Consider the following 25,765-nt stretch of genomic DNA (forward strand, 5'->3'; position numbering starts at 1 on the left):
TTGGGAATAGGGTGACTCTCTCTAATTAAGACTTCAATTACTTTTTTGTTTGAGTATGTGTCATGAAATGATAATTTGATTGGCTATTTCTTAGTCATTTCATCAAGTCAATTCTATGCAAATAAGAAAACTGCCATAATGAAGCAGATTAGCTATTTATTAAAATTAAAAATAATTTAATTTACATTAAGGCTAAAACTAAATTAGAAAAGTTATTTGTTTGATTCTATTGATCATAGAGTCAAAATAAAATTATCATCTTATGTGAAAAATTATCACTTTCTCAATTGCCACCTCTTCCATGCAGCCCTATTTATTGCCCCTAAAGCAGTAGTGTCTCTCTTCTCTGAGCATTGATGGAACTCCTAGGGTAGTCATATTATAGAGCCTGGATATGAGGCTGATTCTACCACTCACCAGCCGTGTGATCACAGCCTACTGGGTGAATATCTCTAGACCACTCCATAAATGGGAAATAACAATAGGACCAAACTCAAGACCCGCCATGGGGCTTAACAAGCAGTACACATGACATCACTGTGCCATCCGTGAAGATCTAAGTAGACATTACTTCTTGTGATTGCCTGTCTTATTTCCCTCCTGCAGGTTCTTAGATGGACTGGTCTGTGAATCACATGAACATATGCGGTTCATATTCATAAACACTTATTCACACACACACAGATATGTACACACATGTACATTTGCATGTAAGACAGGATTTGGCAAATAGAAGATATTTTTGAATAAATGAATTATTGGGCAACTCATGCTGCCAAAAGTTGAGAGATGAAACTAAATGAAGGCCCAACTGGGGTGAGTGTGCCTGTGGGTGTTTGTTAAGGGGACGCCAATCATTCTATTGCACTTCAGTTATAGCTGGTTCCTCCTCTAACCTACTCTGGGGTCCAAAGTCAGCACAGGAGGCCCAGAGGAGTGAGCGCCTGGCCATTGGCAGGCCCCTGTGGGTCTCTCTCCCTCTGTTGATTCACAGCCTCCCTGTGGATGGGCCGTGGGGAGAGCTAGAGCAGGTAACTGGCTGGGATCCAGGAAAGGCCCTTGTGAGGCTGCACAGGCAGGGGCCCTGGAGTTTCTCACCCAGGCTGCCCTGATGCACACAGGTCCGTACCATGCACCTGGCTCCATCACCACCCTTGTGGGGTCTGGGATGATGGCAGTCAACCAGGTGCTCCACTCCAGAGAATGGGGCCCATGAACTCACTCAGTCTCCATGAGAGCCAGATCCCTGCCAGTAAGTCACGTGGTGAAACCCCATTAGGTCAGCCAACCTTTTCACATTGGCAGCGCCCAGCTTGCTGATGTGGGAGAGAGAAGGTGTCGGCCTGGGGCATGACCATCCACAGCTGAGAAGGGAGGTGGGTGCAGCACGGGTCCCCCTGAAACATTCCATGTGGAGACATCAGACCCCCCGGCTTAGGAGTTGTTACTGCAGGAGTGTTTGAGAAACTGTGTGGATGGTGGCCTGCAGTGTAGACCAGATAGTCAGGAAGCATAGATCAGATGGCCAGAAAGTGTGGGATATAATAGATGGGCAGGAAGTATAGACCAGATGGCCAGGAAGTGTAGATCAGATGGTGTGGAAGTATAGACCAGATGGCCAGGAAGTGTTGACTAGATGGGCAGGAAGTGTAGATTAAGACAGTCAAGAAGTGTAGACCAAGACAGTCAAGAAGTGTAGACCAAGACAGTCAAGAAGTATAGACTAGATGGTCAGGATATGCAAACTAGATAGGAAGTGCAGAACAGACAGTCAGAAAGTATAGAACAGTCGGTCAGGAAGTATAGACTAGATGGTCAGGAAGTCGGTCAGGGTAGATGACCAGGGAGTGCAGCCCAGAGGGTCGGGAAGAGATCTGATGAGCGATTTCTAAGGCACTCTGCTAATTGCCCTGCATTAATTATCTTACTGACTCAAAAGAAGGATGAAGGGTTGTGGAAGGATGGATTTTATTATCATTCCTATTTTACACGTGAACGAACACAGTGGAGTAAGTGATATTCCTAAAATCACATCAAAACAGGCAGGTGTGGAGTTTGCACCGTTTGCCTGACACATGGACAGGAGTCTGTGCTCTCTTTTGTCTGGGTTCTGTATTGGTGGCTGGGTGGTTTTTGCCTCCCCACTCTTCACTCCTGTGCTATGGGCCGGCGTTGCACCTCCTGGGGTGGGCCTCACTCCTCTGGACTCAGCGCCCTGCCTGGCCTGGGCTCTGCGTGCTTCTTAGGGTGTGCCATGGCTGCCCCTCCAGGGCTCACAGTAGATGCCTGCATGGCAAGTGGCAGCCATGTGCGTTGAGGCCACGCGCTGTGGGCCCCAAGGCACCTCAAAGTTTAGGCAGGAAGAGCAGACGCCAGGGTGCATGGGGAAAATGGCGGACAGAGATCTGCATATTTGTTTACAGATCACAATGTTTAGAAGTTTTAAAGAATAAGCCCCTTGCAGTACATTTAAAAGCCGATGAAGGTCACTCCACATCCTTTGCTGAGATGTCTGGGGAGACTTGACTTTGGAGCAGACGGCCCAGGCAAGGAGGTTCACAATTGCACCTCCTCTGTCGGTGGAGGGACGTTTCCGTAAACCAAAGGGAGTCGCCCATCTAGGATCAACTTCATCGTGTTAGTTATGGTGTTTTGTTAAAGTGTCCACAGAAACCAAGCAGCCTAGTCCTGGTGTGGGGAAGTGTCTCCTTAGAATTTCAAGTCGGCTATGAGCACCCCTGGAGTTCCCGGGAAAGACGGTGGGCTCAGGGTCAGGCCTCGAGCTTTAAGATGCAGCGGGGACCTGCCCTGTGGCTTTGCTCTGTCCCGGGCAGTCCCATCTCCTTTCTCCAGGGCTGCTCTGGCAGATCCCCTGCCGAGACGCCACGGGGGAGCCTTGTTGTATGTGGGTTCTGGCTAGAGGCAGACGAGGCCCAAGGTACCAAGGAGAAGCTCTGATACTCAAATGTCACTTAACTAATTTCCTTCCACGCACCAACAAAATAATTGGAATGGCATTGACAAGGGGAAAAACAGCCCGCAGTAAAAAGCAGTTGTCCGAAGCTTCTGGTGTCTTGAGGAAATTATTTCCGCTATTATCTTTCACACAGGGCTCTAGACTGGCCAGAGTAGTCCGTATTATTATGTGACTATCCAGACTATTTCCTCCTCAGTGCCCTAGCTAGTTTTGGGCCGAGCAACACTGATACAATAGTGATTTTAAACTCAGTGAGCATTCCAAAGTTCAGCAAATACATCAAGCCTTTCAAAGTTTCTGCAGGATAACTGAGAAAAAAAAAAATCTATGTCTTGATTTTTGTCAGTTGTCTTGGAAAATTTCCCTTTTCTGTTTTGTGCGTGCTGTCGGAAACCAGCCAAGTGTGTCCTGCGCCCCTTTGGTATGTAGGCTGCATGGTCGAGGAAAGAAAAGGGTTCACTTGGAACCCTGGATCTTGGTTGCATAGTGTGGCTAAGAAAAGGGATGTTTAGACAACACTGGTTTTCAGAAAAATGAAACTAAAGCAGGAGCCTAAATATACACAAAAATGTACAGTGATGTGTCTTTTTTTTCTTTTTGAGACAGAGTTTTGTTCTTGTTGCCCAGGCTGGAGCACAATGGCATGATCTTGGCTCACTGCAACCTCCACCTCCCAGGTTCAAGTGATTCTCCTGCCTCAGCCTCCCAAGTAGCTGGGATTACAGGCACCCGCCACCACGCCCGTCTAATTTTTGTATTTTTTTAGTAGAGATGGGGTTTCACCATGTTGATCAGGCTGGTCTCGAACTCCTGACCTCATTTTATTGATCATTTTATCTTTTTGGTGTCTAAGAATCTACTCCCAATTTAATATATAATTTTAGCTTAGAATTTAATGTATGGACAGTGGAAACTTACTATCAAACACTTTAAAAAAATCCAGCAGAATCCATATGAGAAGTTTATCTTGGCTCATGCATATGCTCCCCTATGTAAACCGAGTTATAGCAAAACCACGGGCCACTTTATGGAGGGCACAGCCTCACTGGGCGGAACCGGTACCCAGAGGGACGGTAAGCCCAGATGGTTGGTGCTGCAGTAAATTAAGCCTGATATAGAGATGTTTGTGGGTTTTATTAAAGTCTCATGATGTCTCTAAGCAGTTCTTGTTATATAACAGAATGAATTATATCGTCCAAGGTTATTGCTCAGATAACCTACTGGAAATGATAGTTTTCCTCCTTCATCACATGAATCTAAATGTTAACTAAGCGCTTGTTAGCTTTTCACATCACATCGGAGGGATTCGTTAGCTCTCACATCTCTGCATATGTGTTTTAAGAGTCTTTAGATAAAAGATGAATCAAAGTGATTCAGTTCTGTAAGTTTTGGACTAGAAATCAGAGTCTCTCTGGACATCATCCGAGTGTAAAATGTAGCACAAATTGCCTTTAAAAATTAATAATTTACCAAATCTATCAGCTATGCCCAGTCTGGCTTGAGAAGATAAGTAAAATAAATATTGTAAAGTCAATTTTTAATAATCTGTGGCATGAAATTTAAGCACAAGAGAAAACATTTAGCAATTAAGCAGGAACATTCGGTGCATGATTAAATGTGAATAATAATACATATTTAAAGGCCTCATAACTTACCTGCTAGCAGGAAATATTTAAAGTTCTAATCTACTACACAGCACAGCTCATGCCGTTTCTTTGTTTAATGAGCTCTTGCCTTGTGATTTTCATGTTTGAGCAGTTACTTTGTAAGTATTTTTACATGGACAGCTACGTGTAAGGCTGACAAAGAGTAGCACAGACAGATATGTGGTGGGGGATTGTCAGGCCAGCGCAGCCACGGAAAATAATATGATCAGATCCTTCATCATGCTGGTAACCAGTGGTTGGCTGTATTCATCTAATTATTGAGACAGCACATTCACATCCGAGGGATTTTATTATAAGAGGTTTATAAAATTTAGAGTTGAAGCTGATCTGTCTCTATCTACCAAATAGAAGCTGGACTCAGGACCATGGTTTTTCATGATGAAGAATCAAATCCTTGATAAATGATGGCAGGTCCTCATCTTCCAGAAAGAGGGAAAAAAAAAAAAAAAAAAGGCAGAGGAAAGGAAATAGCTCGGCTGAGAAACAGAGAGCGAGTGAGCACAGCGCTGACAGAGAGGGAGCCGCTGCCTGCCGCTGAGAACACAGGCTCTGCACCCAGGGCACAGAAGCAGGAGAAGATGTAATTCTCGAGGACCACATTGATTAACGCCCGCCCAGGGCTAGCCACAAATTAGAGCCCCGTCCTGAAAGAAGCAGTGCTATGTCTTGTAAGGCATGCTTCCAAAGGAGCTTGCATTGCACACACCCCGGAGCAAACCGGCAAGTAGAGAAGACGGACACTTCCCAATGAAAGCGAAATGTTCCTGCCTGCCCTGCGCCGCTCGGTTCTCCTTCCTCTCTCTGCTCTCACAGGGTGGTGTTACACCTCCACTGCTCTCCATCTAGTGTGTTTGTGCAACACTCGCCTCCAGGGGGAGCTCGAAGCTCTCCCGCCCTTCACCTCTGATCAGAGCACTGATGTGAGTCAGGTCCCCAGGATGGTGGGGGCACCGGCTGGAGGAGGGCGGGGGCTCCTTCAGACCTGCCTTGATTAACCCGGACCAAAGGGGCCCTCTGCACTGGAGCGTTACAGTCAAAGCACAGCCTGTGCACCTGCCCGTCGGTTCCATAGTGTTTGTCTGCTGCTTGGTTTGTGGGACAGGTGGCTGGTCAGGATCTGCAGGACCTAACCCCACCCACGCTCAGCTGTGAGGAGATTAAAGGGTCTCAGTGTCTCAGGGTCAGGTTCCAGGCTGGCTTCTTGCGATTTCACAGAAGTCACTAAATCTTTTTGGGTAACAATGGGCTTACTCCTAAAAGCAGTGGGAGGTTGGGGGTCAGGGAGCAATTTGAACTTATTCTTCTCTAGATTCTCTTTCATTACAGAGTCTTATTCACATTGAATAAATGTTTATTCATACCTACTGTGGGCCAGACACTATCCTGGGCCCTGGGACTATAGCAGTGAACAAAGTGGACAAAAATCCTGCCTTTATAAAATGCACATGCTGAGAGTTAAGACTCACGATGCTCAGATGGGGCTGCTGTTGTGGAAGTCAGGAGAGTCCACGCTGTTAGTGTTGACTGTTTGTTTTGTCCTTTCCATTGTAAGATTCACCCCATTGCCTCCTAAAGTGAACCCCAGGGCAGGGAACATGTTGACAGGGAGGTGGTCTAATCTAAATCCAGTTAGAACACTCGGAGAGCTCCTAGACTGAAACAGGGAGAAGGAAGCACATTTTGGATGATTGTATTTGTTCCTTGATGGGTCTGCTGAGGAAGAGCTATGTACCCATTGCATGTGCTATTTCCATCTCAGGTTATTTGAAGAGAATACAGAGGAGAAGCAGCCCCAGGTACCTACTCTAGTGGCAGAGTGGCAGGCTTGAGGTGCCTGCATCTGAAAGCTGCTGTGAGTTAGGGAAGCCCCCACCAAAAGGCCCAACAATGGGCAACATCCCCCATCAAAGCCATGGACATATCCCTGGCAACAGACTTGGCTCTTAACTTCCACGAGTTTTTAAGCCAAGGTTGGCAAGAGGAATAGAACGGGGACGTCAAGGTACATCAAAGGAAAGATTCAAAATATATGGAATCCATGAGGCCACATAGGATATTTCACAGCTTTATGCTTTTCTGATAAATCCTGGAAGACTTAATATAAGGTCAGGAGTTTTCAGTGCTCTGATTCGGTAAATTTATTTACAGAGACAGCTGTCCGAGGGTGGAATAAGGACTCGGGAGTGAGAGGGAGGCACTGTCAACACTTTCAGGCCAGACCAGCGGCTCACGCTTTGGAGACCGGGGCTGCAGGTGAGGGCACAGGTGGACCTCAACCCACCTGGACACTCCACCAGAGGGGAAGGCACAGTGAGAGGCAGTGCCCTGTGGCTGAGCTGACGGCACTGGTCTTGGGGCAGGGAGAGGAGCCCGTAGGTCACAATGGCCTTGGTGACCCCAGCCTGCAGGTCACATGTCCCTTACCTGGGAGCCATCTACTCTGGAAACCATGGATACCTACACATCTGTGCAAAATTGACACAGTGCCTCAGTTATTTGGGTAAGGCTGACCAGTGAATTCTGATAAATTGCTGTAACAATGACCACCCATCTGTCAATGTGTCACCAAGCATAGGCTGTATACACTGTGCAGACTGTAAGGATCCACTGGGCTTTCGGCCTGCGGCACCCAGGTATGAAGGGCATTAGCGTACCTCCTATGGCCACACGCAAACTCCGCCTGGGGTCTACCCCATCACTCTCCACTCCATTTTGCAGATGGAGCCCACCGAGTCTCCCTAGAAACAATGGCTTGGATCCTGGGAGCAGTGGCACCCACCTGTCTGGTTCTTATGGCCGAGAGCCCTGCAGCTAGATGTTCTGTGAGCCTGTGTTCCCATTTTATGGAGACTCAGAGAGGTATTTGCCTTGTGCATTTCTCCTGGAGCTTACATCACTGAAGGGGACCCTTGGCCAGCAGTCTCTCTGCTCCGAGTCCCCGAGTCTCCACAGGTGGCCATGGCCATTGGGTTCCAGCTCAGCTCCCACCTTTGCCACCGCCTTCCCAGCCCTCGCTAAGCTGGAGTCCTGGCCCGGGCCCTTGTCCCAGCTTCACGCCATTGCTTACACCCTTGGCCCCCTCCCTTCCTGAAATCACTGTCCTTCTTTTCCCCTCTAATCTGAGTCCTGTTTATTCCTTAAAACTCAGCTCAACTCCCCTGTTCTCACTGAGGGATTCTGCAAGCCTCCTAGAAACCCCTCCGGCCTCCTGGCTCCTGAGCACCCGGCCTTGAGCCTGCAGCCACCTTGCCCAGCACTGCTTGGTCCTGGCAGTGTGGCTGCTGCGTGTTCATGGTGCTAGGGGGACTCAAAGGTTCTAGGGGAGGCAGGGACTACTCTTCCTAGGCCTAGTTGTCTTTGCTACCTTCCTAGGGCCTAGTGAGTTCCATGCCACTGTGTATGCAGTAGGTCCACTATGTATGCAGTAAGATCACTGTGTATGCAGTAGGTCCACTATGTATGCAGTAAGATCACTGTGTATGCAGTAGGTCCACTATGTATGCAGTAAGACCACTGTGTATGCAGTAGGTCCACTATGTATGCAGTAAGATCACTGTGTATGCAGTAGGTCCACTATGTATGCAGTAAGACCACTGTGTATGCAGTAGGTCCACTATGCATGCAGTAAGATCACTATGTATACAGTAAATCCACTACGTATGCAGCAGGACCACTATGTATGCAGTAAGACCACTATGTATGCAGTAGGTCCACTATGTATGCAGTAAGATCACTGTGTATGCAGTAGGTCCACCATGTATGCAGTAGATCCACTATGTATGCAGTAGGACCACTATGTATGCAGTATGACCATTATGTATGCAGTAGGTCTACTATGTATGCAGTAGGTCCAACACATATGCAGTAGGTCTACTATGTATGCAGTGGGACCACTATGTATGCAGTAGGTCCACTGTGTATGCAGAAGGTCCAACACATATGCAGTGGGTCTACTACGTATACAGTGGGACCACTATGTATGCAGTAGGTCCACTATGTATGCAGTAGGTCCATTATGTATGTAGTAGGTCTGCAAAGACTTTGCTGATTGATCTGAGGAAGGATAAGAGGATATGAATGTTTTTCCTGTGGCTCTGGGAGTAAGAAGCGTTTAGGGCTACACACCTAACTACCTCCTGGCCTAATGGATGCTCTGTGGGCCTGTGTGAGAGCAAGAAGAAAGGCTGAACACCCCTGTGAGAACCATGTCAGAGCCGTGGCTCCAAAAACCACGCGAGATGGCATGCTCTGAGGCCTCTTCCTCGTGTTTAATGACTCGTGGCAAAGTGTGGATTCTCGCGGATATTTACAAATGACTTCCGTTTACCACCGGACAGTTCTATTGCTGAGTGGTCTGATTTCCTGGATTATGTCCTAAGAAAGTTTAGGACAATGCCCCTAAAGTGGTCATTTAGTGCCCACGGAAGCTTGGTGCTTTGTGTGTCATGATGGTGCATCAGGAGTTTGCAAAAAAAAAAGAGAGAGATAAATAAAAAGTAAAAGGCACAGATGGGGCATGGACAGCTTCTCATTGCTTGTTCCATGTGATGGAACTCAACACATCTGCTCTGCTGCGGAAAGCATCTTTGCACTAATTTGTTTGTCAGTGTCCATTGAGAGGACGATCTGTCATCCTGTCGCATTTTGGTTGCCCCGAGATGTTTGAAGACAAGGCTAGCCACAAATTGGAACTGTGGCCACTGGGGAGTAAGTGGTGGAAACCACCAGCTGTTCTAAGTAACATCAATTGTGATTTTTTTGTAAAGATGAAATTTCAACCTAAGGTCTCCAAAAGCATTTATCAGCTGCATGAAAAAAAGCTAATCACCGTAACAGAAGAGTGAGTCTCTTCTAACGCACGTCCTGGGGTGCGTGCGTGGAAGCCTTGTTACAGCTGGAAAAGCAAGAGAAGGGGGTGGTCAGAATTCAATGAGCCTGGAGCCTCTGTTTTGCTCCATGGTATTTTAAGTCTTTCTGGTCAAAGGTAACAAGCATTATCCTGTAATTGGACTACGGTTTCAGGAACAAGAATTGAGATTTCATTGTGCTACTGCATTTGATTTCCTGATCAAATGCTGTGATCTGGTCATGGTTCTCCTGCCCTATATACCACCTGTTTCTCAGGATACTTTACGCTGAATGGCATTCATTTATTTGGGTTTTTGTTTCCCTGAATCCATTTTAATCTTCCCGGAGCATAGAGACTATGCTTTGTCCTAGAACACAATAGATGCTCAACAAATGTTGCTTTGATTGAATCAATTCAAGTTTGTATCCTTCAAGCAATACCTGAAGTATCTAATCTTTTATACTGAATGTGTTGCTGTCCAGGATTCCAGGGATTTGCTTGCATACTCCCAGTCCTCTGTCACTGGGCAGGTCTCTGTGGAGCACCGCGGTGTGGGAGCCTGGGCTCGCTCACTCCGCTTAGATCTTGTAGAAGATGGTTGGATCTAAGCAGAACCTTCCATCTACAGCCTCTCAAGTTGCCAACCCATAAAAACCAGCTGTGCTCCTGGCTCAGTAACCCTTCAGTCCTTGCCTTTCTCTGACTTCTCTTCCTTGTCAGCAGGTTAGTTTGTAGCCTGAACTGCATGATGGAGATTGAGCTGGATCTATTTTAATTGCCATGAAGACATCATGGGCAGGAAGCATGCATGCTGGAATAGATTAGCAAACATTGACTCCTCACGAAAGCCACAGCCTTCCAACTGCAACTCAGTGGTCAGAGGAGGATGAGCAAAAGTGGAGGACAGAGAATGACCCGACGTGGAGCTGAGCGGGTGAGGGCTAATCTCACAGAGGCATGTTACTCAAAAATGCGGAAACAGGTTCTTTCAGGAGGTTAGAGTTTCCTTCCTCGACTCAAGCAGTCATTCTGAGCATGTGGCATTTGTCAGAAGGTTGTGTTTATGTTTTATGCTTGATCTATAATGACACAACAAAACTCATATAGAGAAGGGGAATCAAGATCTGATGTGTAAAAGAGCCTGTGGTTTAAAATATGGAGGTATTTTGGGCTCCCTGGTGAGAGGTGAGGCCAAGCAATGCAGCACACAGATGAGCTCTGCAGTGCCAGCCTCATTAGGTCGGCCTGCGTGGTCCTCTGAAATGTACAGTTCTGTTGTCGTCACTGTGTATAAACAGAACAAGGAGAGAACTGCCTTATTCCTGGGCACTGGCCTTTTTAAATCCTTTCTTTTTCTCTTTAAATTTCATGTTCCCTTGTCATTGTTGCTGTAAAACCGAAGCCCTCTTCTGCGTGGCGATTTGGAGAACACAGTCAGCATGCACACACATCATTCTTCAGGTGCAGTTATGACAGAAGGATGGTCCTGTCTCATCCCTACACCTGTGAGGCCTCAGTTCTGCCTCTCTCCCCTGTTGTGGCCTTGGAAGGAAAAGCCTCCAGCTCTGAGTCTGCTGCCAGGTGGAGGTTCTTCCATTTGATAAGGTGAGGAGCGTGAATGGATGGAGCTGAGCTTCTGAGACTCGGAGACCAGTGAACCTGCTTGCCACCCTGGGCAAGAGAGCCCAGGGGCTGGCCCAGGAGAGGCGGCAAGGCTGTGTGCAGACACTTTGCCCCTGGTTGACTCCTGACGGCGCTTACTCCACCACTGCATCCCTTCTATACCCTGCTTCTCCCTTCAGACAAGGGGCAGACTCCTAAGAAGGCAGCTTTGTGTTGGACAAAACACAGTGGGGACAGGAACCTAAAGCAGTTGTGAAAGAGCCGGAGGACCCCTGTCCCCAAACCCTGCCCATCGGGAAGAGGCCACAGAGCTATGTGTCGGCCCCACGCTTGGGCAGACCACTGCAGGCACGTGTGTACTCCGCTGGGCTCCAGGGGCCTGATTTTTTAACTTATCCCTGAGATTGAGTTATAAAATTTAGATCCTCCATAAGTAGACTCACATGGAGTCCCAGCTGATTTCTGATAAGGGTGGAAAAGGAATTCAGTGGAGGACAGGTCACCTTTTTAGAACATGGTGTGGGAGTTCTCAGATGTGATGCTGAGTACAATTCATAAAAGAGAAAATGCAGACATCAGACCTCATCAGAATTAAAAGCTGTTCTGTTCTGCAGAAGACTCTGTTAAGAGGGTATGAGAAGCTCAAGATTAAGATAAAGTATTTGCAAACCACATGTCTGGCAAAGGACTTATGTCTAAAAAAATATAAAGAACTCTCAAAACTTAGTAACAAAGTCGGCAATACCATTAGAAACGGGCAAAAGACAAGAAAAGATGTTTCACTGAAGATGATATACAGTTGGCAAATAGGCATATGAAAAGATGTTCAATGTCATTAGCCATTAAGGAGATGCAAATTAAAACTACAGTGAGATGTTACCATATACCTGGCAGAATGGCTTGATTGAAAAGTGGTGACCACACCAAATGCTGGTGAAGATGTAGGGAAACTGGATCATTCATACGTTGCTGGTGGGAAAGTAAAATGTTACAGCCACTCTGGAAAACAGTTTGGCAGTTTCTTATAAAACTAAACATGCAACTACCACATGACCCAGAGGTCACATTTTTGGGCATTAATCCTGGAGGAATGGAAATTTATGTTTGCATAAAAAACTGTACATGGATGTTTATAGCAGCTTTATTTATAATAGCTCCACACTGGAATTAGTCCAGACCAGGTGTTCATCAGTGGTGAATGGTTAAACACACCATGGTCATACACACTGCTCAACAATAAGAGGAAATGAACTATCTGTATACACAACTTAGATAAATCTCCTGGGAATCATGCTGAATGAAAAAAGCCAGTCCCATTTTTTTTTTTTTTTTGAGACAGAGTCTCATTCTGTCACCCAGGCTGGAGTGCAGTGATGCAATCTTGATCTCGGCTCACTGCAACCTCTGCCTCCCAGGTTCAAGTGATTCTTGTGCCTCAGCCTCCAGAGTAGCTAGGATTACAGGCATGCACCACCACACCCGACTAATTTTTTTGTATTTTTAGTAGATATGAGGTTTCACCATATTGGCCAGGCTGGTCTCGAACTCCTAACCTCAAGAAATCTACCTGCCTCAGCCTCCCAAAGTGCTGGGATTATAGGAGTGAGCCACCACACCTGCCTCCAAAATGTTTTTATGCCTATTTTTTTTTTTTTTGACAGAGTCTTGTTTTGTCACCCAGGCTGGAGTGCAGTGGTGCTATCTCGGCTCACTGCAAGCTCCGCCTCCCAGGTTCACGCCATTCTCTTGCCTCAGCCTCCAGAGTAGCTGGGACTACAGGCACCCATCACCACGCCCAGCTAATTTTTTTGTATTTTTAGTAGAGATGGAGTTTCACCATGTTAGCCAGGATGGTCTCGATCTCCTGACCTCGTGATCCGCCCGCCTCTGCCTCCTAAAGTGCTGGGATTACAGGCATGAACCACCACGCCCAGCCTTTTATTCCTTTTATATGACATTTTTGAAATGACTAAACTATGGAAATGGAGAACAGATTAGTGGTTGTCATGGGTTAGAGATTGGGGGCTGGGGATGGGAGGGAGGGGGGTGTGCTTATGAAAGGGACAACATGGGGACCTTGTGGTGACCGGATGTTCTGTGTTCTTCACAGTGATGGTGGACGTACAAGCCTCCACCTGTGATAAAATTACACAGATTTAAACACATGCACTTACACACACACACACGCAATCCCACACACACATACACACACGGACACACACACACACACGGACACACACACACACACGGACAAGGAAACAAGTCAAACAGGAAATCTGAATAAGGTGGGTGGAGGGCACCAGTGTCTATATTCTGGTCTGAATCAGGTGGGTGGAGGGCACCAGTGTCTATATTCTGGTCTGAATCAGGTGGGTGGGGGCACCAGTGTCTATATTCTGGTCTGAATAAGGTGGGTGGAGGGCACCAGTGTCTATATTCTGGTTGTGATGGTGTGCTCTAGTTTTGCTAGTTGTTATCATGGAGGGAAGCCGGGTATGAGGTATGTGGGCACTTCTGTAATGCCTCTTACAATGGCATGTGCGTCCATAAACTTAAAAGTCTAATTAAAAATTGTTAAATGCTTACAGGGTTATATGAGTTTTATGTTTGCACAAATCTCATAATCAAAATCTTAAATCATGATCATGAACTGCAGTGGTGCTCCTGGTGCTGTTTTAGCTGATGAAATTACATTAACTTGCCTTCCGTAGGATAAAACGCTCATCACTCAAAAGTGTACCTAACAGCCTGCAAACAACATAAACTGAAACCTTTAGTATGCAGATGGAAATTCTCATTCTCAATAAGAAGACTCCGTAAAGAGAATATGGTAAAATATTAGCCTATAGATTTGGGCCCAACCCACATGGATGCTGCAGACGTGAATGCAGGACAAAGGTTATTGCTCTCTCTGGTACACACATGAAGCCTGTCTTTCCATGAGAAGCAGTCTCTGTGAGCTCTAGGCCTTGCAAGAAGCATCATTCAGCTTCTATATTCTGCTGATATGTTTGCTTAAATGAAGATGCATTAGATATGAATCCTGCTGGGCTGGTCTGCACCATACTTATTAAGACAGTCACTTTGAATACCTGATTTTAGGAATCCTGCTAAAGATTAGATACAATCTTTCTCTTCCTTATCTAACTGCTTTTTTCTATAACTGCTATTTTTGCTTTTCCTCTTCTCTTTCCCTCCTCTCTCCTTTTTCCTCCCCTGTCTTACTCCTCTCTCCTCCCCTCATCTCCTTTCCTTGTTGCTAGCAAAACCACTCTTAAATAACAGCTAAGGGAATTTCTCTAAACAGAAATGAAATAATAACAGAAGAAGGCTTAGGGCTTCAAAATGGAAAGAACAACATTGAAATGAGTAAAAATCGTGCTAAGTATCCTTTTCCTCATGTGGCGCTCTCTATATATAGAGGATACTTACGACAATTGGATTTAGAAAGTATGGAGTGTAAGAGAACTAAGTGAAAGTGAACTTTCTATGCTTTACTCGAAGTGGCAAGGCACTGATGTCAGTAGACCATGGTGCAGTGTAGTTGCATACTGAGATACAAAGAGCAACTGATAAGAAAACTGTAAAAGGCAAATACTAAAAAATTGTGAATAAATCAAGGTAGAATCCTTAAGAATATTCAAGTAAGCCACAGTAATGCAAAAAGGAAATAAGCAGAATGAGAGGCAGAGGAACAAACAAAACAAATAATAAAATGGAAGATTTAAGCCTTGATATGTCAATAATTATGCTAATTGTAAATGGCTTATAACACTAATTAAAGACAGAGATTGGCTGAGTGGATTTTTAAAAAACCCACAAAAACATGATTCAACAATATGCTGTCTATGTAAAACTCACTTAAATTACAATGACATATATGGATTGAAATTAAAAGGATGGGAAAAGATATACTGTATAAGTAGTAATTAAAAAATCAGTAGCCAGGTGTGGCGGCATGCATCTGTAATAGCAGCTACTTGGGAGGCTGAGGCAGGAGAATCACTTGAATCTGGGAGGCGGAGGTTGCAGTGAGCTGAGATCATGCCTCTGCACTCCAACCTGGGTGACAGAGTGAGACTCCGTCTCAAAAAAAAAAAATCAGGAGTGTCTATATGAAATTATATAAAGTAGACTCATAGCCAAGAAAATCACTGAAGGCCAAGAGGGAAATTATATAATGATAAAAGGATCAATCCACTGGGAAGACATAACTATCCTAAATTTAGTGCATGTTCCAAACAACAAAACATCAAAATATATAAAGCAAAAAGTGACAGACCTGAAATGAGAAGTAGGCAAATCAATAGTTACCTTGGGGTCTGTCAACACCCTACTGTCAGTAATTGATAGAACTCCTAGACTAAAAGTCAGCAAGGATATAGAAGACTTGAACAACACCATCAACTAACAGGATCTAATTGACATTTTAGAATATTGTCACAGGATATGTCACAGAATTGCCATCAGCAACATAGAATACACATATTTTTCAATTTCTTCTGAAACACTCATCAATATATACCATATACTGAGCTACTAAACAAATCTCAACAAATTTAAAATAATAAAAATCATATAGTGTGTTCCTTGACCATAAAGGAATTAAACCAGAAATCAATAATAGAAAGACAACAGAAAAGTCTTCAAACATTTGGAAATTAAACAACACACTTCTAAATAACCCATGTATCAGAGAAAAAATCTCAAAGGTAATACAAATGCATTGAACCAAATGAAAATGAAAATACAAAAGCCACAGTGTTAAGACGCAGCTAAAGCAGTACTGAGAGGGAAATTCATAGCACATTTAGCACTTATACATATTTATAATTGATCTAGACTGCTTACATTAGAAATGAAGAAAGGTCTCAAATCAATGGTGCAAGTTTCTATTTTATAAAACTATAAAAAACAAGAAAAATAAACCCAAAGCAAGCAGAATTAAAGAATAAAGATGAGAGAAGAAATCAATCAAATTGAAAACAAGAAAATAGAAAATCAGTGAAATGAAACTAGTTCTTCCAAAAAATCTATAAAACTAAAAAATGTCTTGCAAGACTGAGAAAGATACACAAAGAGAGAAATACAAATCTCTGGTATTAGGAATGAAATAGGTGCTATTACTACAGAACGTGTAGTTTTTAAAAGAATAAGGGAAAACTATGAACAATTTTAAGTTCACAAATTCCATACTTAGAAGAAATGGCTTGTAGAAAACCATAAACTGCAAAAACTCAACCAAGATGGAATAGCTAACCTGAATAGTCTTATAACCATTAAGTGAACTCATAATTTAAAATCTCCCAGGAAAGAAATATTCAGGTTCAGCTCCCCGCCACACTTCAGATTAGGTCAGGCACCCACTTCTGCTTTAGTTCCTGTTCTTTTCCTTCATGCCATGCATCACAGTTCATTATAATATATTAATATGATTATCTTATTAAGCCACTCTCCCAGAATCCTATAAATTCCATGACTATGTTACTTATTTTATGTCTCCAGCATAAAGCCTGACACCTCATGGAAAATGCAGAGATAGTAACTGAATGAATGAATGAATGAATGATATCTTTGAATGATAGAAACATAGCTCTCAGGGTGTCTTATTTAACTTGTGATATATTGAGAAATTGCCCTAGAATATCAAGATGGAATTTGTTTGGCTTGGCAATGTCTTCATCATTGACAAATATTAGCTCATGAGGTCAGTCAAGGGCTGGCTGGCTAGAGGAAAAAGTAAATATAGGTATGAAGGAAGCTCACGCCCCTAATTCTCTGAAGTTTTACACAATAGAGTTTGTCTTCCATTTCATGAAGTCTCAGCCCGTGACTGTGACCTTTACCTTTTTACTTTTGCTAGAAATATTTTTTCATGAGGGTATTTTAATCTAGGATGCACGTTCACTTATCTAAGTGAAAAGTCCCAAGTCGAAAAGTTCCAAATCTCTTTAATGGAGGTTGCAATTATGACTTATTTCCTTTGTCTGGGAACATAACCTTGCTGTCTGGCTGTGGTACAGATTGCCATTCAATATACTTATATGAGTATGCTTAATATGAATATGCTTATTCAAAGCTTATTCAAAGAATCAATGCAAAGGTCCCCAGGGCTCCACTTTCTCTTTTGCTTTGCATTGTTATTGATTATTGTCCTTGGGGAGATGGTCACCTTGGGCAGGGAAGGCCCAGGCATCCCCCAAGGGCAAGGGTGGTTCTGCTCAGCTGGAAGCCAGAATCTCGCACAGCCATAGCCTCTTCCTAAATATCTCCTGAACAATGAATACGTGGTTCAATGGATCCTCAGTTTTAAAGGAGATCCCAGGTGAAGATGAACCTGGCTGATATACATCCTTAAAAAGAAAAAACTAACAAGCCAAAAAAATCTCCCATTTTCTAAAAAAATCCTGGTCTGGAAAGAATTCAAGCCATGTCAACTCCGATGTAAGCTTTGGGAATGGAATTATCATAATCAAAGAGAAAATGAAGTGAAGAGAGTAGGAAGAGGAGTCATGCAAGGAAAGGCGAAGCTTGAGAAAGAACACGGTGGGATAGCCAGGACCACAGCATTCTCCGAATTGTGGCAGCTGGTGTGAAATGAGGGCTGGGGTCTCTCGTGTGTGCCCAGGACATCTTGCATGCATGGAAGTGCTGCACTGGCCAATGTCATTCTCACTGCCCCACAAGCCTGCAGGGAGGACGTATGGTTTGCTCTGTGACTGATTTTAAAGTGATCTCAGGGAAGAATAGGAAAAGGCAGAGAGTATTGTCACCAGGGAAGTGGATTAAAACGTGTGGATAAGCTGCTGGGTCGAAGTCTCCTGCAACCCTCATCACCTCCTTACAAAAGGAATCAGTCCGGCTTCCCAGATGCGGACGTTCAGGTGGTGAGGTTGTCGGTGTTGAGGTTGTTGTTTGGCCAAGATCACATCCATAGATGACTGAGGGGTGGAGCAGGGATTCGATCCACTTTGTCCAACCCTGAGCCTGAGTGTCTCTCCCAGGCCCACCTCCCACCAACCCTGAGTTGGGATGAGGACTGCTGCCCTGCCCCACTGACAGGAAATTGTGGGGAGAACAATACAGGAAGTTGGAAATGCAGCGCGGAGATAATTTAAAGGATCAGTAGCAAGAAGTTCCATTTATGTGTATAGAATGTCTAAAAAATTTAAATGATTCCTTCAGAAATGTAATAATTTTATAAATATAGGTCTAAAATGAATCAAAGTTTCCGCTAAGATACACCTCGGTGGACCCTATATGGTGGCATTACCATTATGCTGTTGACTGTAAATGTAACTGAATGTGCAATTATGGTATCATTTGACAAGTTGGTGCATATTGAACACATACTATAGAACACGGAGGCTATTTTAATATTTAGGTGCTGATTTTTTTGTAATCAGAAAGAAAACAACTATATTTTCAAGTATACGTTAAAAAAGGGTTTGAGTTTCAGGTGAAGCTATTAGATTCCGAGAAGGCTGATAACGAGAGATTTAAAATAACACGAAGATTCAGGTGAAGCTATTAGATTCCGAGAAGGCTGATAACGAGAGATTTAAAATAACACGAAGAGGTGATGTACACAGAGGCCGGTATGAGAAATTCCACATTAACTGTAATTTGAAAATGTTTTGCCTCTCACCGCTTTCTGCGTTTTAAATGGAGGTGTCTGGCCCTCACTCTCCAAGGCCTGCTGTCTTTGTGTCAGGTTTCAGCTCCCGCTGGGGCCTCAGATGTGTGGGTGTGGCAGGCCAGGTCTCACTAACGCAGGCCTCCGTAGCAACTGTTTCAGTATTGACTGGGTGGTGAAGTTGAACATCAGAAGCCAGTGCCCTTATACAACGGCTGGAATAGGACAAAAGCCCACCAAGAGTTTTGCCCGGGCCTTTCCTGGGCCTTGAAGCATGACAAAACAACGAAGGCATTCTTAACAGGACCCATTTAGAATTAAACAAGTTTTACTGGGGGTCTGAAGAAACCCCCCAAACCTCCATGATTTAGCAGCAGACAAGATAAGGGTAATCACCCCGGCACCTGGACCATTTAGATGACGTAAACTCACTGAGGCTCCAGAGGAAGGTCTTCAGGACTCGACCTTAGTTATAGACTAGAAGAAGTTCATCACTTATGTCTTTAGGGGAATGAACACTTACACGTAGACATAGAGCTTAGAAGGTACAGAAGCTCTGGAAAACTTTGTCATTCTGAGTTGGTCTGGCGATAGTTTCTGCTCCTTCTCCCTGTAACCAGTTACAGAAATAAAAACTCCTTCCTCCTCAGTTCATCTGCATCTCGTTATTGGGCAGAGAGAAATAGCAGCCCAACCCTCAGTTTGGTCCGGGAACAAGGGCACTTGGGCTCACAGCTTCGTTGGGGGAAGATTCAGATCCTCAAAAAATTGAAGCACAGCACGGACCTGGGTCCCCTGGGAGGCCGTGGAGCACGAGGGAGGGCACAGAACCCACCCTGGCCCGAGGCCGGCTGTGCCTCCAATGAGAGGTGTCCCCGGGCTGTGGATGCCCAGGTTACGGGGAAGGTGGTGCTGGCTGGGGGGCTGGGAGCAGATGAACGGCAGGAGCTCAGACAGGTGTTGGTGAGACAAGAGCGGGGCTCAGGCCTGCTTCCAAGCCGATGCTTTTGCATAAAATGAACTCAAGGGAGGGTGTGAAGCTTTCCTCCCCTCAGTGTTACTCCTGGTGGAGAAAGCTTGTTAAAGATGTTCTAATCTCTGCTGTGGTAAAAGACAGGACCATTAACTCAGGGGGCCTGTGTTCCTTCCGCTTGAGGGCAGAGCCTTTGCTGCCCCGGGCTGAGCCTCCTTCTGCGCAAGGACCATTAACGAGGGGGCCTGTGTTCCTTCTGTCTGAGGGCGGAGCCTTCACAGCCCTGGACTGAGCCTGCCTCTGCACCATCCTGCAGTGTCCTCTCATCCAAACTGTGGCCGCCCTGCCAGGCCCCTCTCTCTCCTTCCACTTCCTGGGCGAGACTTCAGGGTTCACAGCATCGTTCCAAAACCTGCACGGGAGAATTTAAACTCAGGCCTGCCTGCGTCCAGCTCGGGTCCTGTCTTGTCCCTGGCTGCCACCTGCCTCCCTGCTGGCCACCCCAGCAGGCAACGTGAGGCTGGAAGGATGTGGCCTCCGGGAAGGTTTTAGTCCACATGTCACTCATAATACGACATTCAGCAAAATGAGTAAAAACGTTTCGAAGGGAAAATGATTTTATAGAAAGGGATGGGTAACCTTTATGATAAAATTGCTTTGCTAGAGCGTGTTGCTTGTGACAGCACCACCTTTCTGTTCTTGACAATGTTTGTCTTCTTAACTAAACAAACGTTAGCTGAGTTGAATGAAATTATGTACGAACCAGAGAAGTCGGGAGGATGTTTGAGGCTCGAGCCCCCGTCATCACCTTTTGTAATATAACTTCATTTTGTAATGGAAGTGGCTCTTGCGAGGCTGTGTGTGTGTGTACGTGATATGTGTTTGCATGTGCGTGTGTGCATGCTTGTGTGTGGGTGTACAATGAACACCTCTATTCAAATAGAGCAGCTCTTCAGAAGCCACTTGGATTGATCTGTTAATTTTCCAGAATTTTACAATATGGAGAATCATCACAAGGGAAACCTATACTACCCTAGCAGCTACTTTTTAAAAATTCTTTTTGTAATTAGCCTAGGTCTCTTTTTGTTTTAAAGAAAGTCTTCACTGATTTTTAACGATCACACTTACTTCTCGTGAGCAAAAGCCGATAATGTCTGCAGTTTGAAAGGTAATTATGCCTGGCTTCTCATCCAGCAGCTACTCTGATATTCCAAAATAATAATGTTACCATTGGAACTGGGTTATTCTTCATACGATACTTTGTAGTATTGTAACCATCTTTATAATAATAAAAAGGCATTTATATTATGAACACTTAATTTTTTGTTTTCTAAGATTTCCCACCTCTCAAAGCTTTTAGGAAAGAGAACATTAAAAGATGTTAATGCACACAGATACATCTCAATTTCCCTCGGGGAGAAGCTACCTTAACTGCCATTTCAAGTTTTACATTTTTGCTTTAAACGAGTGATTTCATTTAAATAAAAAAGTCTTATTTTCTGTGATGAAAATTCAGCTGCTCCTTGTAACCCTGAAGCATCTTGATTTATTATTGACTATATCCTCTTTCAAGGAGAATATTCTTCTCAAAGACATTATGCAGGAATTCTTATATTGCTTACTGTTTGGCATTTTCTATTAATCTCACCACATCTGTTTTCATGCTATTTGGATAAAAAAATCAGAAAAGTATAGTAGTTACATGTTTTGATAAATACAATTGCAAGAATCAACACATTCTGTTCACCTGAAGGAGCCTGTCTAATGTATGCTGTTAGTTGCATTAAGGAACTCTTAGAAATTTAAAAAGCATTTTTAACAGGGCAAAGGTTTTCTTCAGTTCTTTTGTAAAAAAATGTACAAACTTCACTAAAATAAATTTTAGAAATTACTTTGTAAAAGACGTAAATGGGAAAAAACATTTTATATGAATTTGTCTTCCAAAAATAATTTGGTATACATATATATATATACACACACACACATATATATACACACACACACACATGCACATATATATATATAGCTAACTTTCCATATGTGTGTGTGTGTATATATGTGGATGAACGTAAAGTTAGTTGTAGCTTATTATGTCGTTTCTATGTATAGTTGCAATTCATACATATTTATAGTACATATCCATAGAGTCACAGGACACACATGCTTATGGTACAAAGACTAAGAAGCGACTCCAGCCAGGACGCTTACAGCAGACACGCAGCCACGGGTTTATTAGGAGCCCGAGTCAGGTCTCTTATTTGCACAGCAGTTGTGTGCCTGGCTGTGCGCTGATCTAAAAGGCATCTCCTGCCCTAAGAGAGTTGAGTGACTCACCTGAGCCGATTGGGAAATTATTAAGGCAAGAAATATGGGAAGAAGGGAGGGATCCAAGTGCATCTGAGCCCTGATGAGGATCCTGGCCTTGGAAGAGCGTCCTGGGCAGGAGTGGGGTTTGGACAGCGATAGCGGGTCCTGTGGGGAAGGAAGCCAGCATTTCAGGCTGGAGCGAAGCTTCTTTGGAGGTGAAAAGTGACACGGAATGTGCAGGAAACAGTAAAACTTAAAATGGGCAGAGGATATGGGACGTGTAGGGCAGATGGAATAAACAGGAGCAGAATAACTCCAGTTAAGCTGAGCAGATCTGCTATCTTTAATCTTCAACGCGAGGCTCCCCACCTGGGGTCTCACTTCTTAGGAACATTATGCCAGCTGGCATGACCCCGTTTACTCATGAGAACCGCTTCGTCCCCTTCCCTTCCTGCCACCTCTCACTCCCTCCTCTCCTTTGGGCAGAGTGGCTGAAGCAGGGTGGGCAGACAAAGGCCCTGAAGAACACTAGCTCTGGCCTTGGGAGTGAGACGCACCTTCCTTCCCCTCAGTGGACAGAGCAGGTCCTTCACTATGGGGCTCCTGAGTCTCTCCCAGGATGGAGGCAGGCCCTTCACGACAGGGCTCCTGAGTCTCCTCAGTGGACGGAAGCAGGTTCTTCACTATGGGGCTCCTGAGTCTCCCCCAAGACAGAGGCAGGTCCTTCATCATGGGGCTCCTGAGTCTCCTTAGCAGATGGAGGCAGGCCCTTCATGATGGGGCTCCTGAGTCTCCTCAGCAGATGGAAGGAGGTCCTTCATCATGGGGCTCCTGAGTCTCCTCAGCAGATGGAGGCAGGCCCTTCACTATGGGGCTCCTGAGTCTCCTCGGTGGACAGAAGCAGGTTCTTCACTATGGGGCTCCTGAGTCTCCCCAGGACAGAGGCAGGTCCTTCATGATGGGGCTCCTGAGTCTCCTCAGCAGATGGAGGCAGGCCCTTCATGATGGGGCTCCTGAGTCTCCTCAGCAGATGGAGGCAGGCCCTTCACTATGGGGCTCCTGAGTCTCCCCCAAAACAGAGGCAGATCCTTCACTATGGGGCTCCTGAGTCTCCCCCCGGATAGAGGCAGGTACTTCACGATGGGGCTCCTGAGTCTCCTCAGCAGATGGAGGCAGGTTCTTCACTATGGGGCTCCTGAGTCTCTCCCAGGATGGAGGCAGGCCCTTCATGATGGGGCTCCTGAGTCTCCTCAGCAGATGGAGGCAGGTCCTTCACTGTGGGGCTTCTGAGTCTCCCCCAGGATGGAGGCAGGTTCTTCACTATGGGGCTCCTGAGTCTCTGCCAGGATGGAGGCAGGCCCTTCATGATGGGGCTCCTGAATCTCCTCAGCAGATGGAGGCAGGTCCTTCACTGTGGGGCTTCTGAGTCTCCCCCAGGATGGAGGCAGGTTCTTCACTATGGGGCTCCTGAGTCTCTGCCAGGATGGAGGCAGGCCCTTCATGATGGGGCTCCTGAATCTCCTCAGCAGATGGAGGCAGGTCCTTCACTACGGGGCTTCTGAGTCTCTCCCAGGATGGAGGCAGGCCCTTCACGATGGGGCTCCTGAGTCTCCTCAGCAGATGGAGGCAGGTTCTTCACTATGGGACTCCTGAGTCTCTCCCAGGATGGAGGCAGACTCTTCATGATGGGGCTCCTGAGTCTCCTCAGCAGATGGAGGCAGGTCCTTCACTATGGGGCTTCTGAGTCTCTCCCAGGATGGAGGCAGGCCCTTCATGATGGGGCTCCTGAGTCTCCTCAGCAGGTGGAGGCAGGCCCTTCACTATGGGGCTCCTGAGTCTCCCCCAGGACAGAGGCAGGCTCCTCAGGATGGGGCTCCTGAGTCTCCTCAGCAGATGGAGGCAGGTCCTTCACTACGGGGCTTCTGAGTCTCTCCCAGGATGGAGGCAGGCCCTTCACGATGGGGCTCCTGAGTCTCCTCAGCAGATGGAGGCAGGTCCTTCACTATGGGGCTCCTGAGTCTCTCCCAGGATGGAGGCAGGCCCTTCATGATGGGGCTCCTGAGTCTCCTCAGCAGATGGAGGCAGGTCCTTCACTATGGGGCTCCTGAGTCTCCTCAGCAGATGGAGGCAGGTCCTTCACTATGGGGCTCCTGAGTCTCCTCAGCAGATGGAGGCAGGTCCTTCATCATGGGGCTCCTGAGTGTCCCCCAGGACAGAGGCAGTCTCCTCATGATGGGGCTCCTGAGTCTCCTCAGCAGATGGAGGCAGGTCCTTCACTGTGGGGCTTCTGAGTCTCCCCTAGGATGGAGGCAGGTCCTTCACTATGGGGCTCCTGAGTCTCCTCAGTGGACGGAGGCAGGTCCTTCACTATGGGGCTCCTGAGTCTCCTCGGTGGACAGAAGCAGTTTCTTCACTATGGGGCTCCTGAGTCTCCCCCAGGACTGAGGCAGGTCCTTCATGATGGGGCTCCTGAGTCTCCTCAGCAGATGGAGGCAGGTTCTTCACTATGGGGCTCCTGAGTCTCCTCAGCAGATGGAGGCAGGCTCCTCATGATGGGGCTCCTGAGTCTCCCCCAGGACAGAGGCAGGTCCTTCACTATGGGGCTTCTGAGTCTCCCCCAGGATGGAGGCAGGCCCTTCACTATGGGTCTCCTGAGTCTCCGCTGCACATTAGTGCTGACAAGCTGAGCAGCACCTGGGCTCCGAGACAGCCTGGATTCCAAACTGAACATGGCCACTGATGAGCTAGGTGACCGTGGGACAGTCAATCTGATCCTCATGGTGTGGACCGTGTCTAATATTAAATCTAATATTATATCTCCAGTCCTTAATATTCCACACCTTTGCTACAAACGCCTTTTTTTTTTTTTTCTTACCATCTTTAAAACTGGTAGCATCTGGCTCAGAGATTGCTTTTTGGAGCCAGAGCCCACGATATACCCCCACATTGTGACAAAATTTCAATGTCATGATAATGAATGACATCAGCTACACATAATATTTTCAATTTTAATTCTTAGTTTTGCACAACCTAATTTATCTGTAGCCTGTCCTGGGGGCAGGTCTGTACCGGTTTCCTGAAAAATGTCTAAAGTCTAACATAAATTAAACAAGATTATGAACACTCTGGTCCAAGATAAGCTATGAGCCAAGTGTTAACTGTAAAGTGGTTCCTAATGTGTTTCCAAAGTCCAACAGAACAAATGCATGAAATGCCAGGAGATGAAACTGTTTTAAGTAATGAAATGGGGTCCTCAAGAGAACATGAGCACAGACTTCAGGTGAGTTTTACAGCCATTTTTGTGCCTTAGCCAAGGTGCTCACAGACATGACAACGAAAATTCATGTGTTCAAGCCTCACTCCAGCCTTTGCTAGACCTAGAGGAATGAATAGCTAGCACTATTCATTCACAACACTGCAGGATATTTTGTGATTACACTTTATGGGTTCACTGGTGGACCAGTTTCTCAGCTCACTTGGTAGTGTCAGCTGAATCATTTCCCTAAGTAGGACTGTCAGGTAGACCAGATGTCAGCTTTTGCATCTGTGCAGTAGACGACTAGTTTCACTTGCTGTTGGGTAGTTAATAACATCTGCCTCCTGAATTGCCTTTCATTATGCATTTAGAGAAGAATATCCTAGATTCCTTGGGAAAAAAATAGAAAAAATATGTCTAGCAAAATCTTTTACCTGCAACTTATCTAAAAAAAATTGTTTTTTGGAAAAGCAATAT

General features: G+C 45.5%; 1 protein-coding gene across 1 annotated transcript in view, besides 2 other annotated features; it reads right to left on the reverse strand.

Annotated features, from left to right (window-relative positions):
• Nucleotides 1–25,765, reverse strand: part of ADARB2 (adenosine deaminase RNA specific B2 (inactive)) — a 560,213-nt gene that overhangs the window by 238,222 nt on the left and 296,226 nt on the right. The gene's annotated exons all lie outside the window — the stretch shown is intronic.
• Nucleotides 19,096–19,891: an enhancer, noted in NCBI's record as "H3K4me1 hESC enhancer chr10:1476825-1477620 (GRCh37/hg19 assembly coordinates)". NCBI's record gives its function as "activates a minimal SCP1, AML or CMV promoter by ChIP-STARR-seq in primed H9 embryonic stem cells {active_cell/tissue: H9 hESC(primed)}" and the evidence as "EXISTENCE:reporter gene assay evidence [ECO:0000049][PMID:30033119]".
• Nucleotides 19,892–20,685: an enhancer, noted in NCBI's record as "H3K4me1 hESC enhancer chr10:1477621-1478414 (GRCh37/hg19 assembly coordinates)". NCBI's record gives its function as "activates a minimal SCP1, AML or CMV promoter by ChIP-STARR-seq in primed H9 embryonic stem cells {active_cell/tissue: H9 hESC(primed)}" and the evidence as "EXISTENCE:reporter gene assay evidence [ECO:0000049][PMID:30033119]".

This window comes from Homo sapiens, chromosome 10 (assembly GCF_000001405.40).
Source record: "Homo sapiens chromosome 10, GRCh38.p14 Primary Assembly".
In the NCBI taxonomy this organism is placed as follows: domain Eukaryota; kingdom Metazoa; phylum Chordata; class Mammalia; order Primates; family Hominidae; genus Homo; species Homo sapiens.